Source organism: Homo sapiens, chromosome 1 (assembly GCF_000001405.40).
Source record: "Homo sapiens chromosome 1, GRCh38.p14 Primary Assembly".
Lineage (NCBI taxonomy): Eukaryota > Metazoa > Chordata > Mammalia > Primates > Hominidae > Homo > Homo sapiens.
In genome coordinates this window covers 51,305,155-51,332,552 of record NC_000001.11, presented here as the reverse complement: position 1 = coordinate 51,332,552, position 27,398 = coordinate 51,305,155, and the positions used below count along the sequence as shown (strand labels likewise).

The following is a 27,398-nucleotide window of genomic DNA, read 5'->3' as shown; positions in this document are numbered from 1 at the left end:
GGCGCGGTGGCTTACGCCTGTAATCCCACTGTGGGAGGCCAAGGTAGGCGGATCACTTGAGGTCCAGAGTTTGAGACCAGCCTGGCCAACATGGCAAAACCCTGTCTCTACTAAAAATACAAAAATCAGCTGGGCATGGTGGCACATGCCTGTAATCTCAGCTACTCGGGAGGCTGTGGGATGAGAATCACTTGAACCCAGGAGACGGAGGTTGTGGTGAGCCAAGATCACGAGATTGTGCCACTGCACTCCAGCCTGGGTAACAGAGTGAGACTTTGTCTCAAAAAAAAGAGAAAATAAAAAAAGCTTCAAATTTTGGAGCATTCTGGATTTCGGATTTTCAAATTAGGAATGCTCAACCTGTATTGGTAAATTTGTATTCTTTTTTTGAACAGCGGCCTCCCCATTGTAAGCTTCTGGATCCACCCCCGGTTACATGAATGACTAACAAGTGACAAGGGAGGAAGGTGTGTTCCACACAGAGGGAACAGCATGTTTAAATGCCTAGAGATTTGAAAGTGCATGACATGTGATAGGGGCCCCAGCCTCATCATCCTCTTTACATGTATTGCTTGTGGTCTCACCAGCCTCACCCTTTCCCACTTCCATGCCTTCATCCATGCTGCTCCCCGATCTGGTACACCCTCTCCATGACTTCAGTTTGTTTAAATAATATAAACTTCAAGGCTCAGTTCTGTCACCACCTCTTCCAGGAAGCTCCCCAGTCTCTCCCCTTGTCTGGATTCTTTATAGTTGCTGGTGGATGTCATCATAGCTTACTTCTAGTAGTTAATTATCTTTTTCGTGCCTGTATATGAGACTCCTAGAGATGGGATGATTCTTGCAAGTGAGCATCTGCCCCTGCTCACAAATGGGCAGGATGGGACTTCACTGCCTTTCCAGGCAGCCTGCTTAGATTTTAAGCAGCTACCACCAAGCCCAAACTGCCTGGCTCCCCTGGGATCTGGTACAAGTCCTGTTCCCACCGTGGTTGCTTCTGCAGGCTGTCCCCTTCTGCTTCCTCTTCTGACGTCCTGGAGGTCATAGTTGCTCCAGGGGAGCTACAGTCCTTCCTTACTTCTGTCCCCTCCTTTGTGAAGGGACAGCTCTAATGGCAGCCACATGCTCTGATGAGTCATGGTTAAGAGCAGCATCTGGGGCCAGGAGATGGTGACTGGTTAACTCTTCATGGGCCAGTGGCTTTCTGTGCCAGAAGATCAGGTCAGGTGGAGACACCGCCTCAGGGCTCGGTGCACAGTGGACATTTGGGGAGCGTTGTGGGTGACCCCCACACAGGCACTGGGAATGCAGGGGAGAGGGGGCCAAGGGGGAAAGGGGCCAGAGTGTTGGCTTTGGATTCAGGAGGGATGGATTCCAGTCCTAGCTTGCCACTTATTAGGTGAGTGACCATGCGTGAATCAAATGAACCCCATGCCTCAGTTTCCCCATCTGTAAAATAGCAATTATGGGGATCATTTGAGAAGGCAGTGTGAACTGCCAGCTAGCAGTGAGTGCTAAACCGTGTTTTCCCCGCCTTCTGGTCTCCTGCAGTCACTCAGTGGGCGAGATGGTGGGATTAAAATCCAGGCCTGACTCTGGGGGCTGTCTTTGTCTGCACGAATGCCCCCATTAATGCGGGAGGATGGTGACGGCTCAGGTGGGGGCCGCTTCGGGGCGGAAGCTGTGGGGAGGAGAAGTGACAGTAAAGTGGACCTCAGGTCCCGGAGAAGAACTTCTAGCGCCAAATAGGTGGGGACGTGTGAGGAGGGAGCGAGCTCCCGGCCCGGGCGGTGTCTGCGCAGAGGGCGCCGGGCTCTCACCTGTCGGAGCGGGGGTGGGGGCCGCCCAGAACCCCCGGCGGTGCGGGAGCGCGGGTCGCCGCGGGCGGCCATGGCCCTACGGTGCGGGTGGGGAGACCGAGGCTCGGCCCGGCCCCGCCGCCTTCCCCGCCCCCGGCGCGCCCCTCCCCGGCCGCCGCGTCCGCGACCGCACAGCGCCCGGCTCGGGGTTGCGGCGGCAGCACCTGGGCCGCGATTGGCGTCCGGCTGGGGCAGCGCCGCCCGCGCCCCTCGGCGATGACCTCGGCTGGCGGCGCCCCAGGAGCCCTGCCCGCGGGGTAAGTGCGCGGCTGGGAGGCCCGGGGGCGCGGGCGGCGCGGGCTGGGGCCCGGGCAGGTGGCGGGCGCCGCGCCAGGCCTCCCCCCGCGCACCGGCCTGGGGCCGCACTGCGGCTTCCAGCCCCCACCCCGCCCGGCCCCTGGCAGCCGCCGCCGCTGCCAGGAGTGGGGGCAGGGGGCTGTGAGGAGGCGGAGGCGCGGGGACCCCGGGTCGGTCACTCACCTTCTGGGTCCCAACTTTCTCACGGAGCTGTAGTCACAGACACGTTCAGAGCAGCCTTCCCCACCTGCCTCGTGGCGTTCACTCCTGTGGGGTGGGCCCTGTTACTCTCATCCCCATTACAGATGAGGAAACTGAGACACAGCACTTAAGTGACTTGTCATCGGTCACCCAGGAGGTAAGAGTTGCGGGTGGGATTTGAACTCAGTTCTGTCTGTTGTCAGATCCCCCCACCCCATCATCTTCAGGGACATTAGGGGAACTTAAACAGCTAAGGTATGGGCCAGCCGGGCCCATTGGGTGCAGCAGGAACCTGGGTAGTAAAAAGTGGGTGTTGTCACCTTCAACGTGGCTCTCCTGCCCAACCCTACCCACATCCCACTGAGAAACCCCTATAGGACCCCTACCTAGATCACCCCCCGTAGCAGTGACAGCCGCTACTGCCGGGAGACCTTCAGCAACTCTCTGCTTTTCCTGGGCCCCAGTGGGCAGGGCAGGGGGCAGCTGCTAGGAGCCCTGACTGCTGGGAGGTTGCTGGGCAGAGAGCCGGCCCAGGTGAGCTGGGAGGAGGGCTCACCCTGCCTGGAGCCTCACCACCAGTGACAATATTTGCTAAGGGCCCGAGGCTTGACACATGAACAGGGAGGTGACGAGGCTGGTGCCAGCTGGCAGCTGGAAGTCTCCACAGGGCTTGCGTGTGTGTGGCTCTATCAGGGCTTGGAAGCTGGGTTGCTGGGGGACACCCTGGCCTGGGAGAGGGTTGCCTGGTGAGTTTCAGCTTCATCATTTTTGTTGTGTGACTTTGGCCAAGTCCTTAACCCTTCCTAGACTTCTGGTCCCTCCTTTGGAAAACACAGAAGTGGGGCTGGCTGTTCCTTTCCTGTTCTGGGCTCAAGTATTTGTAAAGCTGGAGGTTGGGTAGGTTCCTTCTGTGCAGCCCTGACTGAGCACCACCACCCTGCTGGGTCCAGAAAAGTGGTTTCCAGGAGAGAAGGCGGGCATGGAGCAAGGTATCTATCAAAGAAGTCTAGACTCCCTGGCTGAAAACCACATTCATCCCACTTCCTTATATGCTTACATCCCTGCCTAAGTGCCCTCTACAACCCCGGGCACCTCTGGCCCTGCTGCAGGCCTCAGGACAGCAAGCTTGCTCTTCTCACGCTGGTGGGTCTTCCTTATGCAGAACCGTACCTGCCTCTCTGCATGCCTGCCCACTCTTCTTTGAAGCCACCTGTCCATCTGTCCCCAACCCTGGCTAGTGTCATCCTGGTGGGGTCTGAGCAGAGGAGGGCCGCACGCAGCAGGACCATTCTCACCTTCACTACAGAGACACTCACTCAACAGACACTCAGCAAGGCCTGCTCTGGGCCCAGATGGTCATTGGTGAACAAATCAAGCCTTAAATCTCTACCTTTTTAAAAATTATGAAATATTTTAAGCCTTCAGAAAAATATAGCAAATAGTAAAATGAACTCACAAACCCTTGCCACCCAACTTTGTCAGATATTAACATTGTGCCCCATTTATTTTATATTCTTTTTAAGAAATAAACCATAGTAGAGACCCTTGAAAGTCTTGTGGAAACCTCTTCCCTCCTTCCCTCTCCAGAATTACTTGCCATCCTGAATTTAGGTTTTATCATTTCTCTGTTTTTATTCTTTTACTCAGTGTGTGTAAGTCTTAAAAATATGTAGTTTGTTCTTCAAAGTTTTCTGTGAATGGAGTCCTATAGCATGTGTCATGCTGCAGCTCGCGTTTTCACACTCAACTTCAGGTCTCAGATTTAGCCTTGATCCTGTAGCTCTTGTCCCACTTGCCCTGATGTGTGATATACCACCCTATGTAGACACCTCCATTTGTTTATCCTTCTTGATGGATGTCGAAGTGTTCCCAGTGTCTTGCTATTCAGACAGTGAATATTCTTGTATGATGGTGTTTGCACATGTGTTTCACGAGGGTGCCCCCTTAGTAGTGGAATTGCTGGGTTGTTGGATATGTGCACTCGATCTTAAATAAAATAAAATAAAATAAAATAGAGACAGGATCTCACTTTGTTGCCCAGACTGGTCTCAAACTACTGGGTTCAAGCGATCCTCCTTCCTTGGCCTCCTGAAGTGCTGGGATTACAGGAGTAAGCCACTGCGCCTGGCCCACTCAATCTTTTAAAGTTATTTAGTTTCATTATAAAGTCAGTGCTACTTGATCAAGAAATGATGGTAAAGCCGCACGCAGTTGCTCACGCCTATAATCCCAGCACTTTGGGAGGCCCAGGCAGGTGGATGACTTGAGATCAGGAGTTTGAGATCAGCCTGGCCAACATGGTGAAACCCTGTCTCTACTAAAAATACAAAAATTAGCCTGGCATGGTGGTGCACACCTGTAATCCCAGCTACTCGGGAGGCTGAGGCAGGAGAATCTCTTGAACCCGGGAGGCGGAGGTTGCAGTGAACCCAGGTAGTGCCATTGCACTCCAGCCTGGGCGACAGAGAGAGCCTCTCTCAAAAAAAAAAAAAAAAATGGCAATACATAATTTTAGAAAAAAATAATAATTACTCACATTTTCTGAGTACTCTTGTGCTTTCCATAGTCTTAGTCATTCTTCACAAAAACCGTGGGAGGTAAGTACTGTCATTCCCATCTCCTTGATGAGGAAACGGAGGCTCATAGAGGGTATGGAACATTCCCAAGGTTATCCAGCAAGTAATAGCTGCAGCTTGAGTCTAGGGTTGTCTGCTTTCAGAACTCTTGCAGGCCACACTGCATTAGGTCATGCTACATCACTCCGTGACACATTTATGTGCAGCTAAGGGGGACTCTTTGGAAGGAGAGTCACAATCATTTTTGCAATTTAGAAAGATCACTTCTAAAGCAACAGATCCCCATGGGCAGATTATTTTACTCGTTGAGCCAAAGTTCCCCTCAGTGGTGGAGCAGGGATTAAAATCCAGCTCTGACTGCAGTTGGCTTCCTGAGCGACCGCTCCGCCGCCTCACCCACCCCACACCCACCTCATCCTGACTGGGATGGAGGTAGGAGGATTTTCTGTTCTCAGTGGGAACTGAGGGTCTCCCAGCTCTACCCAGATCTGCCCATGAGGCACAGAAGCAGCAGTCCAAGCCAACTCTAGTAGAGAAGTGGGAGGGAAGGGGAGAGTGGGGGCGGCTCCAGGCTACCTGACACCCCCTCCCACCCTCTAGCTCCCTTCTCGTTTGGGCCTCAAGTGTGGGTGGGATCTGAATGAGAGAGCCGCCACCACTGTGCCAGAGCTCCTGGCATTGGTCACCAGCTCTGCTCCATCCAGCCCAGCACCTCTTCTCCGCGTCCCTCTCCTCTGTTCCCCAACACACAGTGGAGAGGCCACCATCACCGCAGGAATAGATGTCACCTGGGCCAGGCAAGGTGTCCTTGGAAAAGAAAGGTCTTGGAGACGCAGGGGCAGCCTGTGGAGAAATGGGGGCCTCAGTCTCAGCCAGGTGAGGGGAAAGGTTTGGCGCTGTTGCTTCCACAGAATGCATTTTTGTCTTCTCCCAGGCTCCTGAGAGGAGCCTGACTGCGTTCCTGTCTTCACTGCCTGTCCCTGCCATATCTATCAAAGACAGATAAGGGTGCCTGCTGGCAGGACTGAGTGAAATAATGCAGTCATCAATTTAAATAAGTTGAAGTGGTAATCTCTTTGTGGCGATGGGTGGTTGGTTGTTAATGCTATTATTAAGTCAAATGGGGCGGATGTCTCCAGCCTTCCTGAGCTCTCTAGCCACCGCAGCCTCACCCCTCCATTTAGCTGGCCTTGCAGAGCCTCTGTCTTCCAAGCCCTTCCAGAACGCTTGTACCTCCTAACTGTGGTGTCATGCCTCCAGCCCTGTGTGTGTGCTGTTTCCCCTTCTTAGACTTCTTTCTCCATCTTGTTCTCAGTTTGATGGCATTTTCCTTGATGCCATCCTCCTTCCATGATGCCATCCTCCTTCCGCCCAGCCTCCTCAGTGCCCCAGGCTGAGTTAGAGGTGTCTTCTGGGCCCCTTTGGCCCCCAGTGATTCCCATGATCACAGCCCTGAGCACTGTAGCGGTCACTGCCCTGTCTGCATCTGTCACCTGTAGGCTGTGAGCTCCTGAAGAGGCAGGCCTAGGTCTGTGTCCACTCTGTGTCCCCAGAGCCCAGTCCCACGCATAGCCTAGAGCACGAGATTCGCGGGTGCTTGTGGGAGGGAAGGAGGGAGGAAATCAGCCCAGGGCTCAGCTCGCCCCCAGTCTGGGGGAGGTTACCGCAGACAGCCTCATCCCAGTTAAGCAGAAGAGGTGCCGGGGCTGCCGAGGGAAGGACTGTGCCTGTCTGCACTGACTGTCCATCCGGCCTGGATCTTTCTCTCCAGGTAGACCAAGTAGACAGGACCTTTTCCTCGGTGGGGGATGGAGGTGGTGAGGGGTGTGTGCAGAAATGGGAGGCAGGCTCTTGGCTCAGAAATTGTTTAGAGGTTGGCATAAACCACAACAATGGGCTTGACTTTCTGGGGCTGAGCTGATGGGTACTGGCTCAGGCAGAAACTTGGGTTAGAATGCATGCTTGGATGTGTGACCTTAGCTTGGATGTGTGACCTTAGCCAAGTTACCCGTCCTCTGTGCCTCAGTTTCCCCATCTGCAATAGGTGTGGGGGGGTAATAATCCCATTTCACAGGGCATTTTGAGAGCAGTCAGAGAGAATGCCAGTTAAACACCCAGGCAGTAGATGCTCACTGCTGCCTCATTGATTCATCCAACAGAGATGAATGGCTTGAACACCAGTCACTAGGCTATGCCCTGGGCAGAGACAGACACCATCCCAGCCTCTGAAGAGAGGGGCAGGGACCACATCAGGTGGGGCCTTTTAGGCCATGGAAAGGAACTTGGCCTTTACCCTAAGAGCAATGGGAAGCCAGGGAAAGATTTTAAGTCCAGAAGTGACATTTGTGGTTTTTTTTTTTTTTTTGAGATGGAATTTTGCTCTTGTTGCCCAAGCTGGAATGTAATGGTGCGATCTCTGCTCACCACAACCTCTGCCTCCCATGTTCAAGCGATTCTCTTGCCTCATCCTCCGTAGTAGTTGGGATTACAGGCATATGCCACCACGCCCAGTTAATATTGTATTTTTAGTAGAGGCGGGGTTTCTCCATGTTGGTCAGGCTGGTCTCGAACTCCTGACCTCAGGTGATCCGCCCGCCTCAGCCTCCAAAAATGCTGGGATTACAGGCATGAGCCACCATGCCCAGACAGATGTGGGTTTTAAAGATGTATCTTTGGCAATTATGGGAGAGACAGGTTAGGGGAAATAATGCTTCCAACATTCTCTCTCAAAGAAACTACCTAGAGGTGGGGATGAGTTACAACAAACATCCTTTAAAGTACATTCCTGGCCAGGTGCAGTGGCTCACGCCTGTGATCCCAGCACTTTGGGAGGCTGAGGCGGGTGGATCACCTGAGGTCAAACACCTGAGGAGTTTGATACCAGCCTAGCCAACATGGTGAAACCTCATCTCTACTGAAAATACAAAAAAATTAGTCGGGCATGGTGGTGGGCACCTGTCATCCCAGCTGCTTGGGAGGCTGAGGCAGGAGAATAGCTTGAACCTGGGAGGAGGAGGTTGCTGTGAGCTGAGATCGCACTACTGGTCTCCAGCCCGGGCAACAGAGAGACACCCTCTCCTCAATAAATAAATAAATAAAATAATTCAGTACATTCCTGAACTCCCACAGAAGTAACAGAAACCCCCTCCAGCCAAGCGTGAAGAGAGAACTGAAGTCAGGCTGGCAAACAAGATGAAGCCACAGCAACCTTAGGCTATTTACACATTTCAGAAATCTAAAGCCAGGAGTTTCAACGGCCACTCAACAGATGGGAAAGAAGGTCTTGGGCCTACACAGTTACAGTTTAAGGAGTTGGAACTTAGCATTCCCCAACTCAACACTTAAATCTGGGACCCTCCAAGGGCTACAGCCTCAGTGAATAGGAAGATTGGCTAGAAAAAAGGTCCGCCCCCACCAGCAAAGTTAGACAGCATTTCTGGTGGGAAAAAAAGACTCCCTAAAAAATGATAAATACTGGTCTGCCATCACACAAACTTTGGGTTTGATGGCACACCACTACCTTTGTGGTCCTGGAAACCATAAACTTAAAAAAGTAACTTAAATGGTCTCAGGGTGGTAGTTCCCCTGGGAACCTGGACAGAGTAAATGAAAAATCCTTCCTGGAGCAATGTATCCTGTCCCACAGTCCCTTTGGATCTGTCAAACATGAATTTGTAATATAATTGCAAAACACACAAGGAAATAAGCCACTGTGAGCAGCAGGCACCAGAAACAAGAAAGAGCAGAATTAGTTTCCCTGAGAGTCTAAAATGCTAGAATTATGAGATATAGAATAGAAATAATTATGTTTAAAATGTATAAAGGAATTGAAGATGGACTTGAGGCAGGGAACATAATACTACCCCAAATAACTAAGATTTGAAAAAGAACCAAGTGGAATTTCACAAAATGAAAAATATAATCATTGAAATGAAAAATTCAGTAGGTAGGATAAGTAGCAGGTCAGACACACCTAATGAAAGAGCTGGTGAAATGAAAGAAATTACTCAGGATCTAACAGAGAGCCCAAGAGATAGTATAGAAGTTAGTTAAGAGACATGAAATATGGAATAAAAAGGTCTAACAGAGAAGAGAGAAGAAGGTGGAAAGAGTGGAATGGAGAGTGTTCCAACAGACCTGGGTAAAGATGGTGCTGGCCTGGACCAGAAGGTATTGGGCATAGAAGGGGTTGATTGAGAGATGTTAGGAAGTAGGCTGTGGCTTATACCTATAATCCCAGCACTTTGGGAGGATGAGGTGGGAGGATCACTTGAGCCCAGGAGTTCAAGACCAGCCTGGGCAACATATGAGACCCTATCTCTGTAAAAATTCTTTATAAAAAAGGAAGTAGAAATGATGGGATTTAGTGGAGTTTAGTGATGGAGGGGATGACAGAGGCCAGAGAAGGGATGTGGCAAAGATGATTATCAGATTTTTGGCTTGGGGAATTGGGTAGAGGAGTGTTGCTTATTGGGTAGAGGAGTGGACAAGCATGGTGTCTCACGCCTGTAATCCCAACACGTTGGGATGCTGAGGCAAGAGGATCACTTGAGCCCAGGAGTTTGTTGAGACCAGCCTGGGCAACATGGCGAGACCCCATATCCACCAAAAAAAAGAAAGGCAAAGACTGGGGGAGAACAGATTGGGAGAATGAACACGAGTTCAGTTTTGAAAAAGACATGTTTCAATTTGCCTGGGAAGATCTACTGATGCATCTCAGAGTGGGAGACTTTAGAGCTGGGCCCTAAGGTATATGTAGGAGTTTACCTGGTGGAGAGGGAATTTCTTTTAACTAACTTCTGGGAAATAGGATTTCCCTTCAGGGAGAGTATCAAGCCTCTTTCTGGAACATTCTTTCACTCAAAGGAGGCCCCTTGAGAAGAGGCATTATCAAAACATCAAATAGGCAGGGCTTCTGGGATCTCTTAGTTTCATCTCTCATTTTTATATGGGAAAGCTGAGACCCAGAAAAGTCAGGGGTTTGCTTTCCTAGCCTTAGACTCTTCATTCATTCATTCATTCATTCATTCATTCATTCATTCATTTACCTAACAGATATTTATTAAAAGCCTACTTTGTACTGGATACTAGTTGCTGGGGATACAGCAGTTAAAGATTCTTGCTTCCTGGAAGCTTATAGTTTAGTGGAGGGAGACAGACAATAAACACAAAAATAAGTAAAATATATCACGTCAGAGGGTGGTAAAAGCTATAGAGAAACGTAAGGACTGGAAAGGGCTCAGGTATTCTGGAGGAGCCATTGGCAAAGTGAATTTGAAAGGCCCTGGGCCTCTCGTTTGGGGCTGCTGACCCATAGTGTGACAGCCCATTGTGACAACGTCAGGGATTCTAGAGTCCAGGCCTGGGGGAGGGAGGAGGCCTTGGAGAAGGAGGAGGGAAAAAGGGGCTGTGGGATTTAGTGGCTGGGCTGCACCCCCTGGGGGGGCAGCAGAGCCCAATGGGCCAGAAGGGCCACAAAGACTCCCTTTACCCTTGTGGAGGGTAAGATCATTGATTCCTGAGGCCTCTTTGCACCTTGCCCTTGGCCCCTCCCCCACCTCCAACAGATCTCTGATGACATTCCCTTCTGCTCCCCCTCCCACCCTTGGGAACACCAAGAGGTGGGTCCAAATTGTCCCTGCGTCCCAGTACAGAGTGGCAGCCTGGAGGAGCTCGTGACAGGCACCCAAGGCTGGCCAGGGAGGCTGAGTAGACCCTGTGAGGCTCTGTTCCAGCCAGGAGAGGCTGGAGGGTTGGAGGGCCCCTGTGTCATGCCCCGCATCTCTTCCCCCAGGACTCCTGAGAGCAGCCTCCATGAGGCCCTGGACCAGTGCATGACCGCCCTGGACCTCTTCCTCACCAACCAGTTCTCAGAAGCACTCAGCTACCTCAAGCCCAGGTGAGGCTCAAGCCCCGGTTGGGGTAGGGGGTGTGCATGACGGTCAGGGAGAACCAGAGGTCTTGTATGAGAGGAACCCTGTGTAACTAAATGCCTTTGGCTTTCTGGGTCACCAGGACCTCTGAGAAGTCCCATAAAAATGGCTCAAGCTCCATTCCACGGCCTGTGTGCAGCCAGGCCCTCTCCAAGGTCACTGTGACTTGCTTCTTCTTAGGCTCTTGAGGGTTCTTCACACTTTGTTACTTGTTCCCGCAGAATCCACTTGGAGTTTCATCCTCACCAGCTCTCACATGACTCCTTTGTTTATTTTTCCCCAAAGCACTAAAGACTTAGGTTGCCTGCTTTCCTGGGTGTTTTAGGGCAATCAAGAGGGCTGCTCACTTGACCATTTCCTTGAGTACTCACTGCCATGTTTCTGTAAATACAAATCAATAATGGGCGTATACTCCTTTTTCTTTACTTATCACTTTTTCTCAGTTTTAAAAATTGAGATGTAATTCAGATACCGTAAAACTCACCCTTTCTTATCACTTTAAAACATTTATTGGGCTGGGCGTGGTGGCTCACGCTTGTAATCCCAGCACTTTGGGAGGCCAAGGCGGGTGGATCACTTGAGGTCAGAAGTTCAAGACCAGCCTGGCCAACATGGTGAAACCCCATCTCTACCAAAAATATAAAAAATTAGCTGGGTGTGGTGGTGTGTGCCTGTAATCCCAGCTACTCAGGAGGCTGAGGAAGGGGAATCACTTGAACCCTGGAGGTGGAGGTTGCAGTGAGCCAAGATCGTGCCACTGCACTCCAGCTTGGGTGACAGAGCAAGACTCTGTCTCAAAAAAAAAAAAAAAAAAACCAGAAAACATCTACTGATAGATGAGAATTTAGCTTTCTTACACCCCTGCCCCACCTCCCTTCCCTCATCTTTCTCGTCATTATATCACAATATTGGGGTAAATCAATAATCAGTGTTTAACTAGGCGTGGTGGCTCATGACTATAATCCCAGCACTTTGGGAGGTCGAGGCAGGTAGATCGCTTGAGCCCAGGAGTCTGAGACCAGCCTGGACATGGTGAAACTCCATATCTACAAAAAAAAATACAAAAAATTAGCTGGGTGTGGTGGTGTGCGCCTATAGTCTCAGCTATAGTATATAGTAGCTATAGTCTCAGCTACTTGGGAGGCTGAAGTGGGAGGATTATCTGAGCCCAGGAGGTTGAAGCTGCAGTGAGCTGTGATCTTGTGCACCACTGCACTCCAGCATGGGGCAACAGAGCAAAACCCTGTCTCAAAAAAAAAAAAAAAAAAAAGAAAAAGAAAAAGAAAAAAAGAAAAGAAAAGAAAGAAAGAATCAGTATTTACCTTACTATACCTTTGTGATTAATGCTTATTGCAAAGAAAATCATGTGCGAGACTATTTCCTTCTAGAGTTAATAATTTTATTGCTTTTCCCATTGGCCTAATTTGCTAAACATTTATCCGTAAGTCTTTATAACCACTCCATCAGATCATCCTATCGTTGAGTTTTTCCCAAAATGCTGAAACCTATCAAGTAAGCACTCAGTACCCCCCTCATTTTCCTGGAAACCTATCCTTGGGAGGACAGACATGTCTTCTGGCTCCTCCTGGCTGTTTCCTGGAGCTCCTTTGCTTTTCTCCTGTTTCTTTGATTCCAGGTCTTGTCTCTTGTGTCCCCCTCATTTGCCAGGGAATGTCCTATAGAAATTTCCTAAGAAAGTCTGGGCGCAGTGGCTCATGCCTGTAATCCCAGCACTTTGGGAGGCTGAGGTGGGTGGATCATTTGAGGTCAGGAGTTCAAGACCAGCCGGCCAACGTGGTGAAACCTCGTCGCTACTAAAAATACAAAAATTAGCCGGGCATGGTGGCGAGTGCCTGTAATGCCAGCTACTCAGGAGGCTGAGGTGGGAGGATCGCTTGAACCCAGGAGGTGGAGGTTGCAGTGAGCAGAGATTGCTCCATTGCACTCTAGCCTAGGTGACAGAGTGAGACTCTGTCTGGAAAAAAAAAAAAAAGAAAAAGAAAAAAAAGAAATTTTATAAGAAAGACTTGCATAAATATATTTTTTTCCCTAAGAATTTTGAATACCTTGCTTCAGTGTTCTAGCATTTACTGTAGCTGTGAGAACCCTAATTCTTCTTACTCCTTCTCCAGAAAGGTTTAGGATTGGCTCTTGTATTTCTGAAAATCTGGAATTTTACCATGATGTGTGGCAATGAAGTCTTTTTTATCCTGGATTGTTATGCGGGTTCTCAGTTCTGGGAAGTGCTCTTGTACGATGGTTCCGTCTTGTTTCCCTTTCCTGGGCTTTCTTTAACTCACCTTTTGGACCTCCTAGGTCAGTCCTCTTCTGAGCCTCTTCCCTCTCCCTCTCCTTTTTCCCATTGCTTTATCTTTTTATTCCATCTGATTTTTGGAAGATTTCCTCACCCTTCTCATTAATTCCTTCTGTTGACTTCTTTATCTCTGTAACCATATGATTAATTTCCTGGTATTCTTTATTCTCTGAATGTTCTTTTTTCCCTATAACATCTTCTTCTTGGTTTATGGTGCACCAACTTCTTTATATCTATATTTGGAATATGAGGCCCTTAGGACAGTGCCTGGCATGTATTAAGTATCTAATAAAGTATTTATTGTTATTATTGTCACAATATTATTTCTCTTTAAAATGTTTCATTCTTTTCCTGCATAACTAGGCTTTCTCCATGTTCCTGGAGTCTGTTTAATGGGGAATCCTCTTCTCATGGGGTGCTTTCTTCAAAAACCCAACCATCCCTGGCTGTCTGTCTAGTCCTGTTTAAGAATGAGTTCATGCGAAGGCCAGCTGGGAGGTCTGTGCCAAGCTGCCTTGTAGTTGGTGGGGTTGGCTTTGGATGACCTAGAGAGCTGGCCCCCAGATGTCAGCACCCGGGATGGCTTAACTTCTCCAGAGAGGAGTCGTCCATTTCTCAGCCTGGACAGAGAGCCCTGGCGGCCTGAATTGGGAGACTAGGGGCTGGGGTCTAATCATCTCTGCCACCTACTCTCCGTAGTCCCCTTCTTTTCAGCTCCAGCTTGTCCCCTGCACCCAAGCTCCAAGGAAAAGTGAATGCTGAGGCCAGGGGACTGGTTTCCACAAGTCCCCAGGCCTGACCTCTTCAATTTCTGTAGACATCATGGACCCATCTTTCTCCCGTCTAGGGTCAGTGGCCCAGCTTCTGGGGTGGGGTGGGTGTTCCAGGGCGTGTGGCAGTCTCCACACCATACTCCCACTGTCTGAGGGGACCTGGCTTGAGGGGGTCAGGCTGGGTGGGTCAGGGCCTGCAGCAAGAGCATGACCATGGCCTGAGGCAGGCCCAGCCGCAGCCTGCTCTGTCTTGGAATGTCCAGGTTCCCCTCTCAGTTTTCTTGGAAGGCTCTCCAGCTCCTGCTTCTCCCCTAGTCATTTCCTGTCACTCACTCGAGCCTGGACCCCAGACCATAGCCACCCTCCTGCACTGGAATCCAGCTGCCCAGGACACAGCTGCTCAGCCGGTCCCACACCCCAAGCACAGACACATCAGGCACCTTTCTCCTCACCCACTGAAGCCCCGATAAGGCCATGCCTCAGCCTACTCTAAACTGTCCTGCAGACTTGGGGCCAACAGAAGGGAGTCGAAACACAGGAGAAAATATTAAAACCAAAGGCTGTGGCTGTGCCTGGGTCCTCGAGCTGTCCCTGCCACATGGTCCCTGAAAGGGCTTTTCCCTCTGTGGCCCCCTCACCTCAGGAGGGCATTCTAACAGGAGTCCTGTAGCACTCAGGATCGCCAAAGGAAACCCTCGTCCTAACAGAGACACCCCAGGAATCCAGTCTTCCCATGGGGCCACCTGTTATCTCACGTGGGAAGTAGTGCAGCTTCTGTTTCTTAGCCCCTGCCTTATTCCAGAAAAGGATCCTTTCCTTCTTTTTTCTTTTTGTTTGTTTGTTTGTTTTTGAGACAGAGTGTTGCTCTGTCGCTCAGGCTGGAGTGCAATGGTGTGATCTCGGCTCACTGCAACCTCCACCTCCTGGGTTCAAGCGATTCTCCTGCCTCAGCCTCCTGAGTAGCTGGGATTGCAGGTGCGCGCCACCAGGCCTGGCTAATTTTTTATATTTTTAGTAGAGACAGGGTTTCACGATTTTGGCCAGGCTGGCCTCCAACTCCTGACCTCAGGCGATCCACCCGCCTTGGCCTCCCACAGTGCTGGGATTACAGGCGTGAGCCAGCGCACCAGGCCCTTTCTTTCTTTTTAACAGTTTTCCTCCAAATAGTAATGTCAGTAGCACACCACCCCCAGACCACCTGTGACAACCCAAAATGTCTGCAGAAATTGCCACATGTCCTCACATTGGGAGTGGGGATACCCTGGCACTTCCATTGAGAACCACGGGTCTAGAGAAAACAATTCTTGCTGGAAAACAGCCTCCCTTCCTCACTGATGGCCACCAAAGCTTCAGAAGATGTTGGGCCCAGTGTCATTCGCTGTTCTTCGCTGCACACATTGTCTCGTTTAATTGTCCTGGTCCCATGCAGTGGGGGATGGTGCTCCTCTTTCTCTCTGCATGGGGCATCTGGGCTTTCCTAGCTCCCTTCCCCGCCTTGCCTCTGCTTTCCATAAGTCATGCCTTTGAGTAGCATTGTCTCTGCTTCTAGCATATTTCACTTAGCACTGAGTCTGACCTGACGCACTGTCTCTGGGACATGGAGGCTACTGCTTTTGGCTTTCTTGAATTACATGATCGTGGTTAATAAATGGCAGAGTGGGATTTGGATCCAGGTCCTCCAGCTGCACAAACCACACACTGACTGCTGTGTGTGTGGTTTGCCCTCCCCCTTGGGTTGGCGTCATTTACCTTGGGCAGGGCCTCACATCTGCCTCCCCCAAACCATGAGGAGTGAAGGAGGTGGAAAGGGTGCACTGGGGGCATGTGTGGGGGTGCAGCAAGTTCAGGGTATGCCCTTGAGTGTTCTGTAGTTTTCTGAGGGAAGAGGCAAGGTCACCTGCCAAGAGCGAGGGGCCAGGTGGTGTTGCAGGGATAATAAGGAGAGGGGAAAAGGTGTTTCTGGGCAGGATGCCAGGCCTGGCCGAGGCTGAGGCCCCAGTCCAGCCTGTGTCTGTCTGTGTAGGGGGCAGCTTTCTCCAGCATTGCTCAGTGGCAGTGTGGAGAAAGTGGGCAGTTGCATGGCTCCTGAGCTGGGCTCCTAGCTAGGTTCAGCAGAAGGTTGGCAGGCTTGGCATTGAGTATGTTGAAAGAGAGAGACTGGTATGAGGACACTAGGCTAAGCAGTCAGGAAGAGGGGACAGGCTGGAGGAGGGAGGATGGGCAGCGGGAGTGATGAGCCAGTATGGGCAGGTCAGGAGGCTTATAGCTGGGAAGGCGGCGGCATCCTTTAAGACTCCAGAAGCAGAGCCATTCTGTGTGATGAAGACAAGGTCACGCTATGACTCAAAGGATGGAGGTGGTTGGGCACCTGTCACTGGTTCATTCAGCAACAGCCTTTGAGCGCCCTCCTGGGCCCGGCAGTGTGCTGGGTGCTGGGGCTCCATTACTGAGCAAGACGTGGGCTGTTCTCAGGGTCCAGCAGGGAAATGGTGAAACAAGCAATAAGGGGTGCCGAGAACGACCCAGGGACCCCATTTCCTGTGGGAAAGGGGCTGGTCAGGAGGGCTGCCTCATTCCCTGGGGCTCATTGCCAAATAGAAATTCAGGGTCATTTGTTCAAATATTATTAAAATTTAAAAACAGTGACAGCAGAGAATTAAACCAAACATGGGCCCTTTTTAGGCACAGGCCCTGTGCAACAGCATAGACCACACACCCGTGAAGCTGCCCTGGAAGGCTTACTGGAAAAAGTGACATTTACACTGAGATGGACTGGATGAGAAGGAGTCAGCCAGATGGAGGGCGTTTCTAGGCAGAGGGAACAGCCTGTGCAAAGGCTCAGTAGTGAATGAGGGTCTAGAGTATCTGAGAGATGGAGACACTCACCTTGGCTGGAGTGGGAGGAGCTGAGGCAGGTCCCAGAAGGAAGAAGGCAGGGTGATGGACAGCGGACTGGGGATGGGGAGTCCATAGAAGCAACTTGGGCTGGAGAGGAAGACAATGAAGTGGGGTCTGAAAGGACCAGAAAGTGGAGTAGGGGGAGCTTCAGTGAGCACGAAGAGGAAGAGACTTGGAGAGGCCAAGGGGCTGCCTCTGCCTTCCAGTGCCCTCCCTATCCTGACAGCCGGTCTGGGCCCAAGAAGGTGGGACCCCAGTAGACATGTCCCAGAGTGAGAGGACAGCTCAGGAATGAGGGGACTAGCGGCCTAGATGATATATATGCAAATACAAACTTGGGTACAAGCTAAACTTGGAGTGCCTGAGGTTTGAGGGTTGTCATACCTCTGTACTTCATTTCCCAGTTCAGACTAGAGTTGGGGGCTTCCAGGAGGTAGGCTGGGGAGGGGCTAGTATTCTTAGCCACAGGTGCCTGTTGGGGCCTTGGGCCTCAGACTAGAAATTCCACATTTCTGCCAGCTGCCCGGGTGGGGCTGTCCCTCTTTCTGGGCCCAGCACCAGACAAGTTTCCACAGGTGGGGCTGGGCAGGTGGTGCTGAGTCCCGGGCCTCAGACCTGCAGTGGGAGAGGAAGAGAGAGACAAGGACTTGAGAGATGGAGAGGCCTGGGGGCTGGGGGTGTTATCTGGGGGATGGGTCTGTGTGCTGCCAGGGAAGCCCCTCCTCGAGGAGAAGGACTTTATGCAGGGAAGTGACGCAGGACACGGAGGGACTCATATTTACCGAGCTTTGGTGCAGTGGCCCCTGGCCTGGGTATTCTATTTAAGCCATGCAAAAACCCATTGGGGAGAAGAGTTAAGGTTTTCCTTCCGCAGGGAAAAACTTGAGGCTCAGAGAGGCTATGAGACATGAGACATGCCAGGTCACACAGCTGGTAGCTGGCAAAGCTGACTCCAACCTGTGTCTGAGGGACTCTGAAACCTGGTTCTGGCCCCCACTCTGGGCAGCCTGCTCCTCTCTACAAGCCACTGCCTGCAGATTAAGCAGTCCTAGCAAAGGCCTGGGAGCATCCAGAGAGTGCCCCTGGCTGGCGAGTGGTAGAGCAGCCTTGGTTTCCTTCCTTTGACCCTCAAGGATCACAGGAGTGTCACCCAGAAGTAACTTAACTTATGAGTGTTTTATGAACAGGAAAAGCAGGAAAAGGGGTAAAGTCACATGATTTCACAACCAAACAGCCTGTAAACCTTAGTCATCTCTCTTTCCTCTGAAGTTCCCAGCATAAACCTGGCACTGAGGAGATTCATAAATAATTCACGAGGAGACCTGGGGAAGGGAGTAAAGGCGCTCTCAGTCAGTCCCACAGTCTCGCAGGGACCCGGGCAGGCTGGCATTATCGTCCCCATTTTGCAGAAGCAGAAATCTAGGCCCAGACATGTTAAGTGACTCCCTCCACATACAGAGAGGACCTGGCATTGTTCCCGTCCCTCCCTGCCTGTTGCCTTCTCCATGTGATGGACTAAATGCCACCCCCTGCCCCCAACACACCCTTCAGCTGAGGAGCCTGGGTCGGTGAAGGAGCAGGGAGCCCAGAGGCTCCTGAGGCCACCTTGGCTCAGCCCTGACATCGGTGCTGAGGACAGAGATGAGTCACACACAAGCTCTGTCCTCGAGGTGCCCACAGTATGGGGAGAGCTGAGCCTATGCTGATGTCAGTTCAGCGTGGCCCGTGCCTCAGTTACAGATGGAGTCCCTGAGGAGGAGGCCTGGATTCCCAGTGGTCTGGGAGGCATTTGAGGCCTTGACAGATATGTCAGGAGATGTAGAGGAAGAGCATTTCTTTCTTTTTTAAAAAAATTATTATTACTTTTTAGAGACAGTGTCTCACTATGTTTCTCAGGCTGGTCTCAAACTCCTGGGCTCAAACAATCCTCCAGCCTTGCCCTCCCAGAGTGCTGGGATTACAGGCCTGTGCCACCACACCTGGCCGAAGAAGGGCATTGCAATCTGAGGGAACAGGCTGGGCAAAGGCCTGGAGGAGGGAAATGTGGGATTTTCTCATGGAAGGTTTGTGTGGTTCAGTGTGGCTGGGGGTGCAATCTTGAATGTGACCAGATGGGGGTGGGTGAGGAGCAGAAACATCAAGAGGGCTGGAGAGGTGGGCAGAGCCGGCGTCTCATGGAGCTTTAGCCCCGGCAGGATCTCCTAGGATGTGGGAGCCATGGGAAGGTGTAACCACTGGGCACCATGATCAGATGAGGGGAGGGAGTGGGAAGAGGCAGCAGGTGACTAGTGAGGAGGTCCAGGGAAGTGAGGTTGAGGGCGGCCCAGGGGTGGGGTTTGGGCTAAACAGGATCTCACAGACAGGACTTGGGCTCAGCCTGCAGGAGGTGGGGGCAGAAGGCAAGAGGGTGGCACTGGGTGCAGGGAAGGGCAGCCTCTGGCCGACATGCACTAAACCCTTTCTCAGTGCTCATGGCAGCTATGCTGCTGCCACCCCTACCGAGCTGATGAGGAACTGAGGCTCAAATCTGGTAGATCACTTAGGGCCACTCAGCAGGAAGAAGGCAAGCTGGAAACAGAATCCGAGGTCTTTTGAGTAGCAGTGAGCAGATTAGACCTGGCCAAGGCCCTCCCCGTGCCTGGACCTCTGGTCCCCTCACCTCACTGCAGAATGGAGGAGGGTGGAGATGAGCTGCCCAGGACCAGCTGCCTCTGGGGCTCTATAAGGTGGTGCTCTCAACGTCTCTTCTCTTTGGCAGAACCAAGGAAAGCATGTACCACTCACTGACATATGCCACCATCCTGGAGATGCAGGCCATGATGACCTTTGACCCTCAGGACATCCTGCTTGCCGGCAACATGATGAAGGAGGCACAGATGCTGTGTCAGAGGTTGGGGGCATTGGGGGCAGGGATCAGAGGTTGGGAGGCCCACCCTGCTGTCACCCTGGCCCATTCCAGGGCCTAACATGCCACTATTCGCACTGCTGCTTTTGGCTAAGAGGTTGTGTCTGCATGTGCTAAGAGCTGTCCCTGTTGGCCCTGCCTCAGGAGCTATGTTGTCTGAGCCAGTCACTGGGCAGCTTTTAGGGACCAGGGTGACAGAGTAGAGGAGGAGGCAGCAAGACCTGGGTGGGCAGGAGGGTAGGCCAGGCTGGACACGAAGAGACATTAAGGAGAGGAGCCGAAACGTCGGACAGGTTGGGAGCTGCCAGGAGCAGCATCACCTGGCCAGGAAGCGGGTTGACCAGGAGCTGCTGTATAGCCTCAGCCCCAGGACTGATCAGGTGGTAACTGTCCCCATTTGACCAGTGAAGGCACTGAGCCTCAGAGAAGTTAAGTGACTTTTTTGCCAGAATATCAAACCTCTTCTGTTTGACCTCTAAGCCTGTGTTCTTTCTTGCTAGCTCTGTCTCTTTAGGAATGTTCTAGGGTGTAGCAGAGAGGGGCAGAGACAAGTGTGGCCTCTCTCTAATCCTCACCTGAGGCCCCTCTTTTTCCTCTTCAGGCACCGGAGGAAGTCTTCTGTAACAGATTCCTTCAGCAGCCTGGTGAACCGCCCCACGCTGGGCCAATTCACTGAAGGTGTGGCATCCAGGACATCCTTTCAACCATGCTAAGCCCAGGTGGCCAGCTCCAGGCCCAGGAAGGGGCAGTTTTCTTCCCTGTCATCGCCTAGGGGGCCAGGCCCTGGTGTCCATGCCAGGACACACATGGGTCAGAGCTGGGGCCTTTTGAGGCATGGCTCTCTAGTGAGGGTGTGGGGGGCAGGTGAGACCCACTTATGCGATAGCACTACTGGCTGAGAACCTGCAAGTCAAGGAAAGGGAAAGCTGTCACAAGGCCAGGGCTCTGCTCCTCAGGCCAATGGGTGTTTAGAGTTGTATGTGCAGTTAAGTTTACTGATTTAATTATCCTAGTGATCGCATGGGCCCCAGAGGGGAATATGGTTTCAGCAGCCGAGTCAATGGGACAACATGAGAAGAAGTGGTCTGGGGTGTCATGGTCCATCTAGGTCTTTGTGCCATGACCACATGCAGCTGTCCTGGAGGCAGCAGTGGCTGACCGCAAGCAGTGAGGGGCTCTGCAGCATAGGGGAAAGTGGCCTTACCCTCCTCAAGAGCCCTGGAAGGTTCTAACGCCCCACAGTGCATCTGATGTTGCTGGGTACACAGCACCTACAGTGGTGCTTGGAGGAGGGTATGAGCTAGCTTCTAGGGACAGTGACGAATGCTCTGAAGCACTGGGTGACGAGGTAGGGGACAGGAGAGGTGCTGACATAGGTTCCCTTTGCTTTTGGGGAAGTTGGGGTGTGAGGATTTGTCCCAGGCCTCCTGACTAGAGTCCCAGGAGGCCACGGGGCTTTGGTTTTCTCCCCACAGAGGAAATCCACGCTGAGGTCTGCTATGCAGAGTGCCTGCTGCAGCGAGCAGCCCTGACCTTCCTGCAGGTAGGGACCCCCACTTGTACAAAGAGGCTGGGATTTCAGAAGATCAGTTTCCACGTCCAACCATGACCCATCCCCTAGAGCAACTGTGACCCATCCCCCATAGCAACCACGACTCATCCCCTGTAGCAATCGTGTCCCATCCTTCACACTCCTGCCCCTGGCGGGGCTCAAAGGGAAGTGATGGGCATCATCTCCTCACATCCTGAGTACACACGCTCCCACCATTACCGGGATGCTGTTTCCACTGTGCGACTGCTGCATTTCCTGTTAAGGGTCATATGGGGGTGATAGGCATTGTCTCAAAGCCTGCTTTCCATTTGATTCGTTCAACAAGCATTGTAGCACCTATGATGTACCAGACTTTTTGCACACGGTATAGGTATGTAGTTTTTACATACCTTACACACATTACAGTTTGTTTTTGCTAACATTTACATTTGTTATTTAATCTTCACCTCAGAGGCCTGTGAAGGGGAGACTTAGAGGAGAGGGGTCACTTTCCCAAGGTCACATGATTAGAAAATGATGAGCAGGGATTTGAACCTAGGTCTGACGAAGTTGGAGCCCAGGTCTCCTCACCACACGGTGGGAATGATGAGAACGATCACTGCATGCTTTTGCCTGAAAGCCTGGGTTATAATGAGAACATATTATCATCATTATATATGTGTATTTAGCAGGAGAGGGACATATGCATTTTAGTGTTGGGGTGCTGGTTAATTTCATAGCTTTTTTTCTATCTTTTTGACCTGGAGAGATGAGAATTGGATTAATCCTAGTCCTTGCTTTAGGATTCACTGTAATGATTGCACCATAAATGAAATTTTGTTTTATTTATTAAATTTTTACAAATAATGAACACCCACCAACACCACACCCGACTGGAGGACAGAACACTGGCAATAACTCTCCTCACCCTGGGGCTCCTCCTCACCCTGTCCATGTACCCAACAGGGGAATCACTACCTAGAGTATTATGTTTATTGTCCCCTACCCTTTTTTGTTGTTGTTGTTGTTGAGACGGAGTCTTGCTCTGTCGCCCAGGCCGGAGTGCAGTGGTGTGATCTTGGCTCACTGCAACCTCCGCCTCCTGGGTTCAAGCGATTTTCCTGCCTCAGCCTCCAGCTAATTTTTGTATTTTTGTATTTTTAGTAGAGATGGGGGTTTCACCACGTTGGCCAGGCTGGTCTCAAACTCCTGACCTCAAGTGATGCGCCCACCTTGGCCCTACTCTATTTTTTTTTTAAATAGCTTTCTCAGCTTTGTACTCATGTCTGAACAGCATATTGTGATATTTCCGTTGGTTTTGAGCTTCCTAAGTGGTGTGGGTCTTGCTTTCTTCACCCAGCCTTATGTGACTATGTTGCTTGCTTTCTTCACCTGGCCTGTGTGTTATTCCCTTGCATGAACACACCGCAGTTTGTTTATCTGTCCTTCTGCTGGTGGCCATTTGGGCTGTTTCTGTTTCTTGGCTATCATGAACTTCCACAACCCTTGTCCATCCGTTTCCGTTGGGTGTACACAGTGAATAGAGCTGCTGGCTGGCTGTAGGCAACAGAGCTTTACATTTATAAATGTGATAAATACCTGCTTGTTGTAAAAACCACAAATAATCCAAAAACAAGCATCCCCCCTCCTTTCTCGCAGTCCCTCCACCTAGAGGGAGATACTGTTAATCACTGGGCGTGGCCCCTCCAGGCCTCTCTCCAAGCACAGAGTATGTGTACCTGGGAGGCTGGTCCAACCCTGGGCATTTTAGAGGTTTTGTTGGGCCAAAGAGCAGGGAGGCCTGGTTTGGCTGACCTCCGACCTCATCCCCCCAGGGTTCCTCACACGGAGGGGCAGTCAGGCCCAGAGCCTTGCATGATCCCTCTCACGCCTGCAGCTGCCCACCTGGGCCAGGCCGTCAGCATCTTTTCCTCCTGCAGGACGAGAACATGGTGAGCTTCATCAAAGGCGGCATCAAAGTTCGAAACAGCTACCAGACCTACAAGTGAGTGGGGCTGGCCATCCGCTTGTGGGGAGACCCTGGGCCACAGCATCTGCTAGGCTGTCCCCCTCAGGCGGCTTTGTGGGAGAAGAAGAGTACTAACCGAGGCCAGAACCTAGTAGACTGCTGTTGCAGGCTGATTTCCATGCCCTCAGGACCTCAGTCTCCTGGAATCATATTCCTCTGGCTTTCTGGCTGTGTCTCTTCCCTTTGGTCCCTTGAGTGCCTACTCCGTGCCTGGCCCCTGCTGGGGAAAATAAGACACAGATTCTGCACAGGGTGTTCTGGTGGGGGCAGGGAGACAGCCACAGGAACAGCCATTTTGGGAACAGCAGCAGAACTCCTACACATCTGTTAAGGCCCAGTCCAAATGCCACTTTCCCCATGAAGCCCTCTTTAACCCCTCTAGTATACAGGAAAGGTATACATACACACACATGCACATGCACACATGCACGCACACACACACACATACACACACACGTGCATGCACGTGCTCTCTGCAGGCCAAAATCATTTCCATGCTATCTCTGGATCCTTGACATTCAAACTGGCCCAGGCACAGGCCGTGTTTATGAATGAAGATTCCGTTTGGAACATTTTTACCCAACATGGCTCCATAATCCCTTATCTATGGTTCCCACAGCAACAAAAGCTCTGAAAATCCAGTCCCCCACTCACCAAGTTTTGCATTAAAACTTATTTCCATTAAAAGTTGATTTGAGGCTGGGCACTGTGGCTCAAGCCTGTAATCCCAGCACTTTGGGAGGCCGAGGCAGGTGGATCACCTGAGGCCAGGAGTTCGAGACCAGCCTGACCAACCTGGTGAAACCCTGTCTCTACTAAAAATACAAAAATTAGCAGGGCGTGGTGGCAGGCACCTGTAATCCCAGCTACTTGGGAGGCTCAGGCAGGAGAATCGCTTGAACCAGGGAGGCGGAGGTTGCAGTGAGCTGATATCGTGCCACTGCACTCCAGCCTGGGTGACAGAGCGAGACGTCATCTCAAAAAAAAAAAAGGGGGGGTGGCGGCAAGAGGTTTATAGAGAGTAGATAAGGTTTGAAATATGAAGAGGATTATGGAGAAATCACTATGGAAACAGCACAAGAGTGACTGGCAGTACGGAGAAGCCCAGCTGAAGCTGGTGATGATAAATTTACAGTGACAGCAATCTTACTACACCTGCTCAGTAGTCCACATGCACCACAGAGAAGGCAGATAATTTACTTCATGCTTTTTCCATCAGGCAGGAGAGATAGAGGAATAACATGGCAAAGGGGGCTAAGGATAGATATGAAGCTGTAGACCAAAAGACAGAGAATAAAGTTTTACTTTTACAGGAGGAAAAGAATTCATGGCGATGGATATTGGGGATAGTTGCATAATAATGTAAATGTAGTTAATACCACTGAATTGTACACTTAAAATTGGTTAAGATGTTAAATTTCATGATATGTATATTTATCACAGTAAAAACAAAATGAAAAAAAGAGGAAAAGTAAAAAAGTCTTTTTTTTTTTTTTTTTTTTGAGACAGAGTCTTGCTCTGTCGCCCAGGCTGGAGTGCAGTGGCATAGTCTCAGCTCATTGCAACCTCTGCCTCCCAGATTCAAGCGATTCTTCTGCCTCAGCCTCCCGAGTGGCTGGGACCACAGACATACGCCACCCCACCTGGCTAATTTTTTGTATTTTTAGTAGAGATGGGGTTTCACCACATTGGCCAGGCTGGTCTCGAACTCCTGACCTCAGGTGATCTGCCTGCCTCGGCCTCCCAAAGTGCTGGGATTACAGGCGTGAGCCACCACGCCTGGCCTATTTATCATCTTTATCTCCCCATTTAATGTGGCTGCTTCCCTGCAGGGATATTGTGAGCTTGTTACAAGGTATTGCTAGGGTATAATGTACCATATAGCATGTGGACATCATGTTACCTTGGAGGCCTATGCTAGAATTTTTCTAGAAAAACCAGACAAGTGCTCTGGCCCCGTCAGCCTCCCTACCAGCTGCCAGAACGAGGTCACCAAAGCACACACCTTGTCAGGCCACCCCTTGCCAACTCCCAAGGCTCCTCTTGCTCTTAAAAGAAGTCCTGGGTTATTGCCAAGTTCTTCCTGGGAGGTCACCCTGGCCCTTCTTGCCACATCTCCCACTTCACTCTGCCTTAGGTCATTGGGCCTTCCCCCAGTTCTTCAAATATGCCAAGGTGGTTCCGACCTCAGGGCCTTTGGACGTGCTGTTCTCTCTGTCAGAAACACTTTCTGCACCGGGCTTTCTGTACCAGATTTCAGCTCAAATGTCACCTCCTCAGGGAAGCCTTTCCTATCCCCAGACTAAGTCAGGCCCAAGGACTCTTCTCCTTGGAGCCTGTCATCACCCTCATAGTGACTCAATCGGGGGGCGGGGGGGGGGGGTCTGTCCCTTAAAGTGAGAATGCTGTGGGGGCAATGGCTTGGTGGTTTTGGTCCCTGCTGTCTTCCAGTGCCTGGCACAGAGAAGCTTCAAGCTTGCTAATTGAAAGCCTTCAAAATGCTGTCAGCCCAGGAAGGAGGCAGACACATCATTAAAAGCCTCTGTCCTGCCCCAGGTGGCTGGGCTAGGGGCTCTGTGCAGTTGGTAACCAGGAGAAATAGAGTTGAATTCCAACCAGGAGACTCCAGGAAGACTTCCTGAAGGAGGAGGTGTTTTGGTTAGCCCAGTGGTTTTCAGCTAGGGGTGACTTCCCCCTGTGAGACTTTTGGCAGTGTCTGGAGACATTCTGGATGTCCAGCTAGGGAGACGATGCTACTGGCATCTGGTGCTCAGGGGCCATGGATGCTGCTAAACATCCTACAATGCACAGAACAGCTCCCCTGCCACCCCCACCAACAAAGAATTATCCAGCCCAAAATGTCAGTAGCGCGGAGGCTGAGAAAACCTCTTTTAGATAGGATGTGGAATACGAACAAATGTCCAGAAGCTGCCCATGGCTGAGTGTGCCAGGGCCCATACGGCTGAAATTCAGGGGGTGAGGAGTGTGTTATCATGGTGGGAGATGGGGTTCGAAATTCCTCAAATACCAGCTCTCAGGATTACCAGAACTGTATGAATCCACCACCAGGGAGTTTACCTGAGGCCCAGCTGGAAGGGGTCCCAGCCCCTACCCCCCACCCCCAGCAGTGGCTGAAACAGGACTTGGCATCTCTCTGCAGGGAGCTGGACAGCCTTGTTCAGTCCTCACAATACTGCAAGGGTGAGAACCACCCGCACTTTGAAGGAGGAGTGAAGCTTGGTGTAGGGGCCTTCAACCTGGTGAGTGCTCCTCCTCCATTTCCACAGCACCTGGCTTGAGCTCAGTCTCCCCTTCTGTCCCTGACTCATGTGTGGTCACTGCCAAGTGCCCCTGCACCTGGCTGTGTGCTGGGCACCAGGATCCAGAGGTGACCAGACATGTGGCCAGCCTTCAGGGGCTCACAGCTGGGGTGGGGGTGGTGTGGGCGCTGGAGCCAGCTCCAGAGTCCATCGGTGCATTTCTTCCCAAGTCAGGCCAGTAGCTTGAAATCCACCATGGTGGAACCTTCACAGCACCCGACCTTGGCACACACAATAAATCAGGGCTTTCTCTGCCCTGGAGAGCTGCTGGTTAAACATTTACCAGTGTCAGGGAAGGAGACAGTCCTGAAACCAGCTGATGACTTAGAGGGGACAGAGAACTAAGTCTTGTTCCTGCATGGAGTGGGGGAAGGTTTCCTACGGGAGGGGGTGAGCATCTGTGCTGGCTCCTGAAGGATCCCTAGGAGTTTCCCAGCTGGGGAGGGGCTTCCAGGCAGAGGGAGCAGGAAGGCTGGGAAAACTGCCTGATCAAGGGAGGAGGAGCTTCCCAGGGAAGATTTAGCCTCAGGAACCTAGGTGGCCAGGGGTTTCCTGGCTAGGCTTCCTGGCACCTGCCCATGGACCCCTGATATCTTAGCTGCCATCTACTGCCCGAGCTTTGGAAAACATTGGCTAGAGGCTTTCAAAGTTAGAGGGGTGGCCCTCTCCCCTCCAGGTAAAGCCTGTTAAAGAGCTAGACTTGGGACAGTGGGGGTGGCCCCTGCCCACTCTGGGTACCTTCACAGGCTTGATTGCCTCCTT

The 27,398-nt window shown here is 51.4% G+C and overlaps 1 protein-coding gene and 1 long non-coding RNA gene across 20 annotated transcripts in view, besides 5 other annotated features; one reads left to right on the top strand and one right to left on the bottom strand.

Annotated features, from left to right (window-relative positions):
- Positions 1-27,398, top strand: part of TTC39A (tetratricopeptide repeat domain 39A) — a 57,859-nt gene that overhangs the window by 12,564 nt on the left and 17,897 nt on the right. For 2 of the 19 annotated variants that reach the window (NM_001410793.1, NM_001297662.2), the window contains exons 1-7: positions 1,991-2,116; positions 10,728-10,832; positions 19,610-19,741; positions 20,358-20,434; positions 21,232-21,299; positions 23,123-23,292; positions 26,477-26,576. In NM_001410793.1, coding sequence (NP_001397722.1) covers positions 2,076-2,116; positions 10,728-10,832; positions 19,610-19,741; positions 20,358-20,434; positions 21,232-21,299; positions 23,123-23,292; positions 26,477-26,576 — 693 coding nt within the window. In that variant the 5' untranslated portion in view covers positions 1,991-2,075. The other 17 variants (XM_011541053.3, XM_005270644.3, XM_006710471.3 and 14 more) reach the window with 17 other exon arrangements.
- Positions 1,082-1,131: an enhancer, noted in NCBI's record as "active region_1019". NCBI's record gives its function as "activates an Ori minimal core promoter by ATAC-STARR-seq in GM12878 lymphoblastoid cells {active_cell/tissue: GM12878}" and the evidence as "EXISTENCE:reporter gene assay evidence [ECO:0000049][PMID:35858748]".
- On the bottom strand, positions 1,272-2,899 carry TTC39A-AS1 (TTC39A antisense RNA 1). The gene is made up of 3 exons (NR_123731.1): positions 2,744-2,899; positions 2,340-2,423; positions 1,272-1,681 (listed from the first exon to the last, which is right to left on the bottom strand). It is a non-coding gene; the product is annotated as a TTC39A antisense RNA 1 (long non-coding RNA).
- Positions 1,949-2,018: a silencer, noted in NCBI's record as "silent region_875". NCBI's record gives its function as "represses an Ori minimal core promoter by ATAC-STARR-seq in GM12878 lymphoblastoid cells {active_cell/tissue: GM12878}" and the evidence as "EXISTENCE:reporter gene assay evidence [ECO:0000049][PMID:35858748]".
- Positions 18,781-19,596: an enhancer, noted in NCBI's record as "H3K4me1 hESC enhancer chr1:51778629-51779444 (GRCh37/hg19 assembly coordinates)". NCBI's record gives its function as "activates a minimal SCP1, AML or CMV promoter by ChIP-STARR-seq in naive and primed H9 embryonic stem cells {active_cell/tissue: H9 hESC(naive and primed)}" and the evidence as "EXISTENCE:reporter gene assay evidence [ECO:0000049][PMID:30033119]".
- Positions 19,985-20,484: an enhancer, noted in NCBI's record as "H3K4me1 hESC enhancer chr1:51777741-51778240 (GRCh37/hg19 assembly coordinates)". NCBI's record gives its function as "activates a minimal SCP1, AML or CMV promoter by ChIP-STARR-seq in primed H9 embryonic stem cells {active_cell/tissue: H9 hESC(primed)}" and the evidence as "EXISTENCE:reporter gene assay evidence [ECO:0000049][PMID:30033119]".
- Positions 20,485-20,986: an enhancer, noted in NCBI's record as "H3K4me1 hESC enhancer chr1:51777239-51777740 (GRCh37/hg19 assembly coordinates)". NCBI's record gives its function as "activates a minimal SCP1, AML or CMV promoter by ChIP-STARR-seq in primed H9 embryonic stem cells {active_cell/tissue: H9 hESC(primed)}" and the evidence as "EXISTENCE:reporter gene assay evidence [ECO:0000049][PMID:30033119]".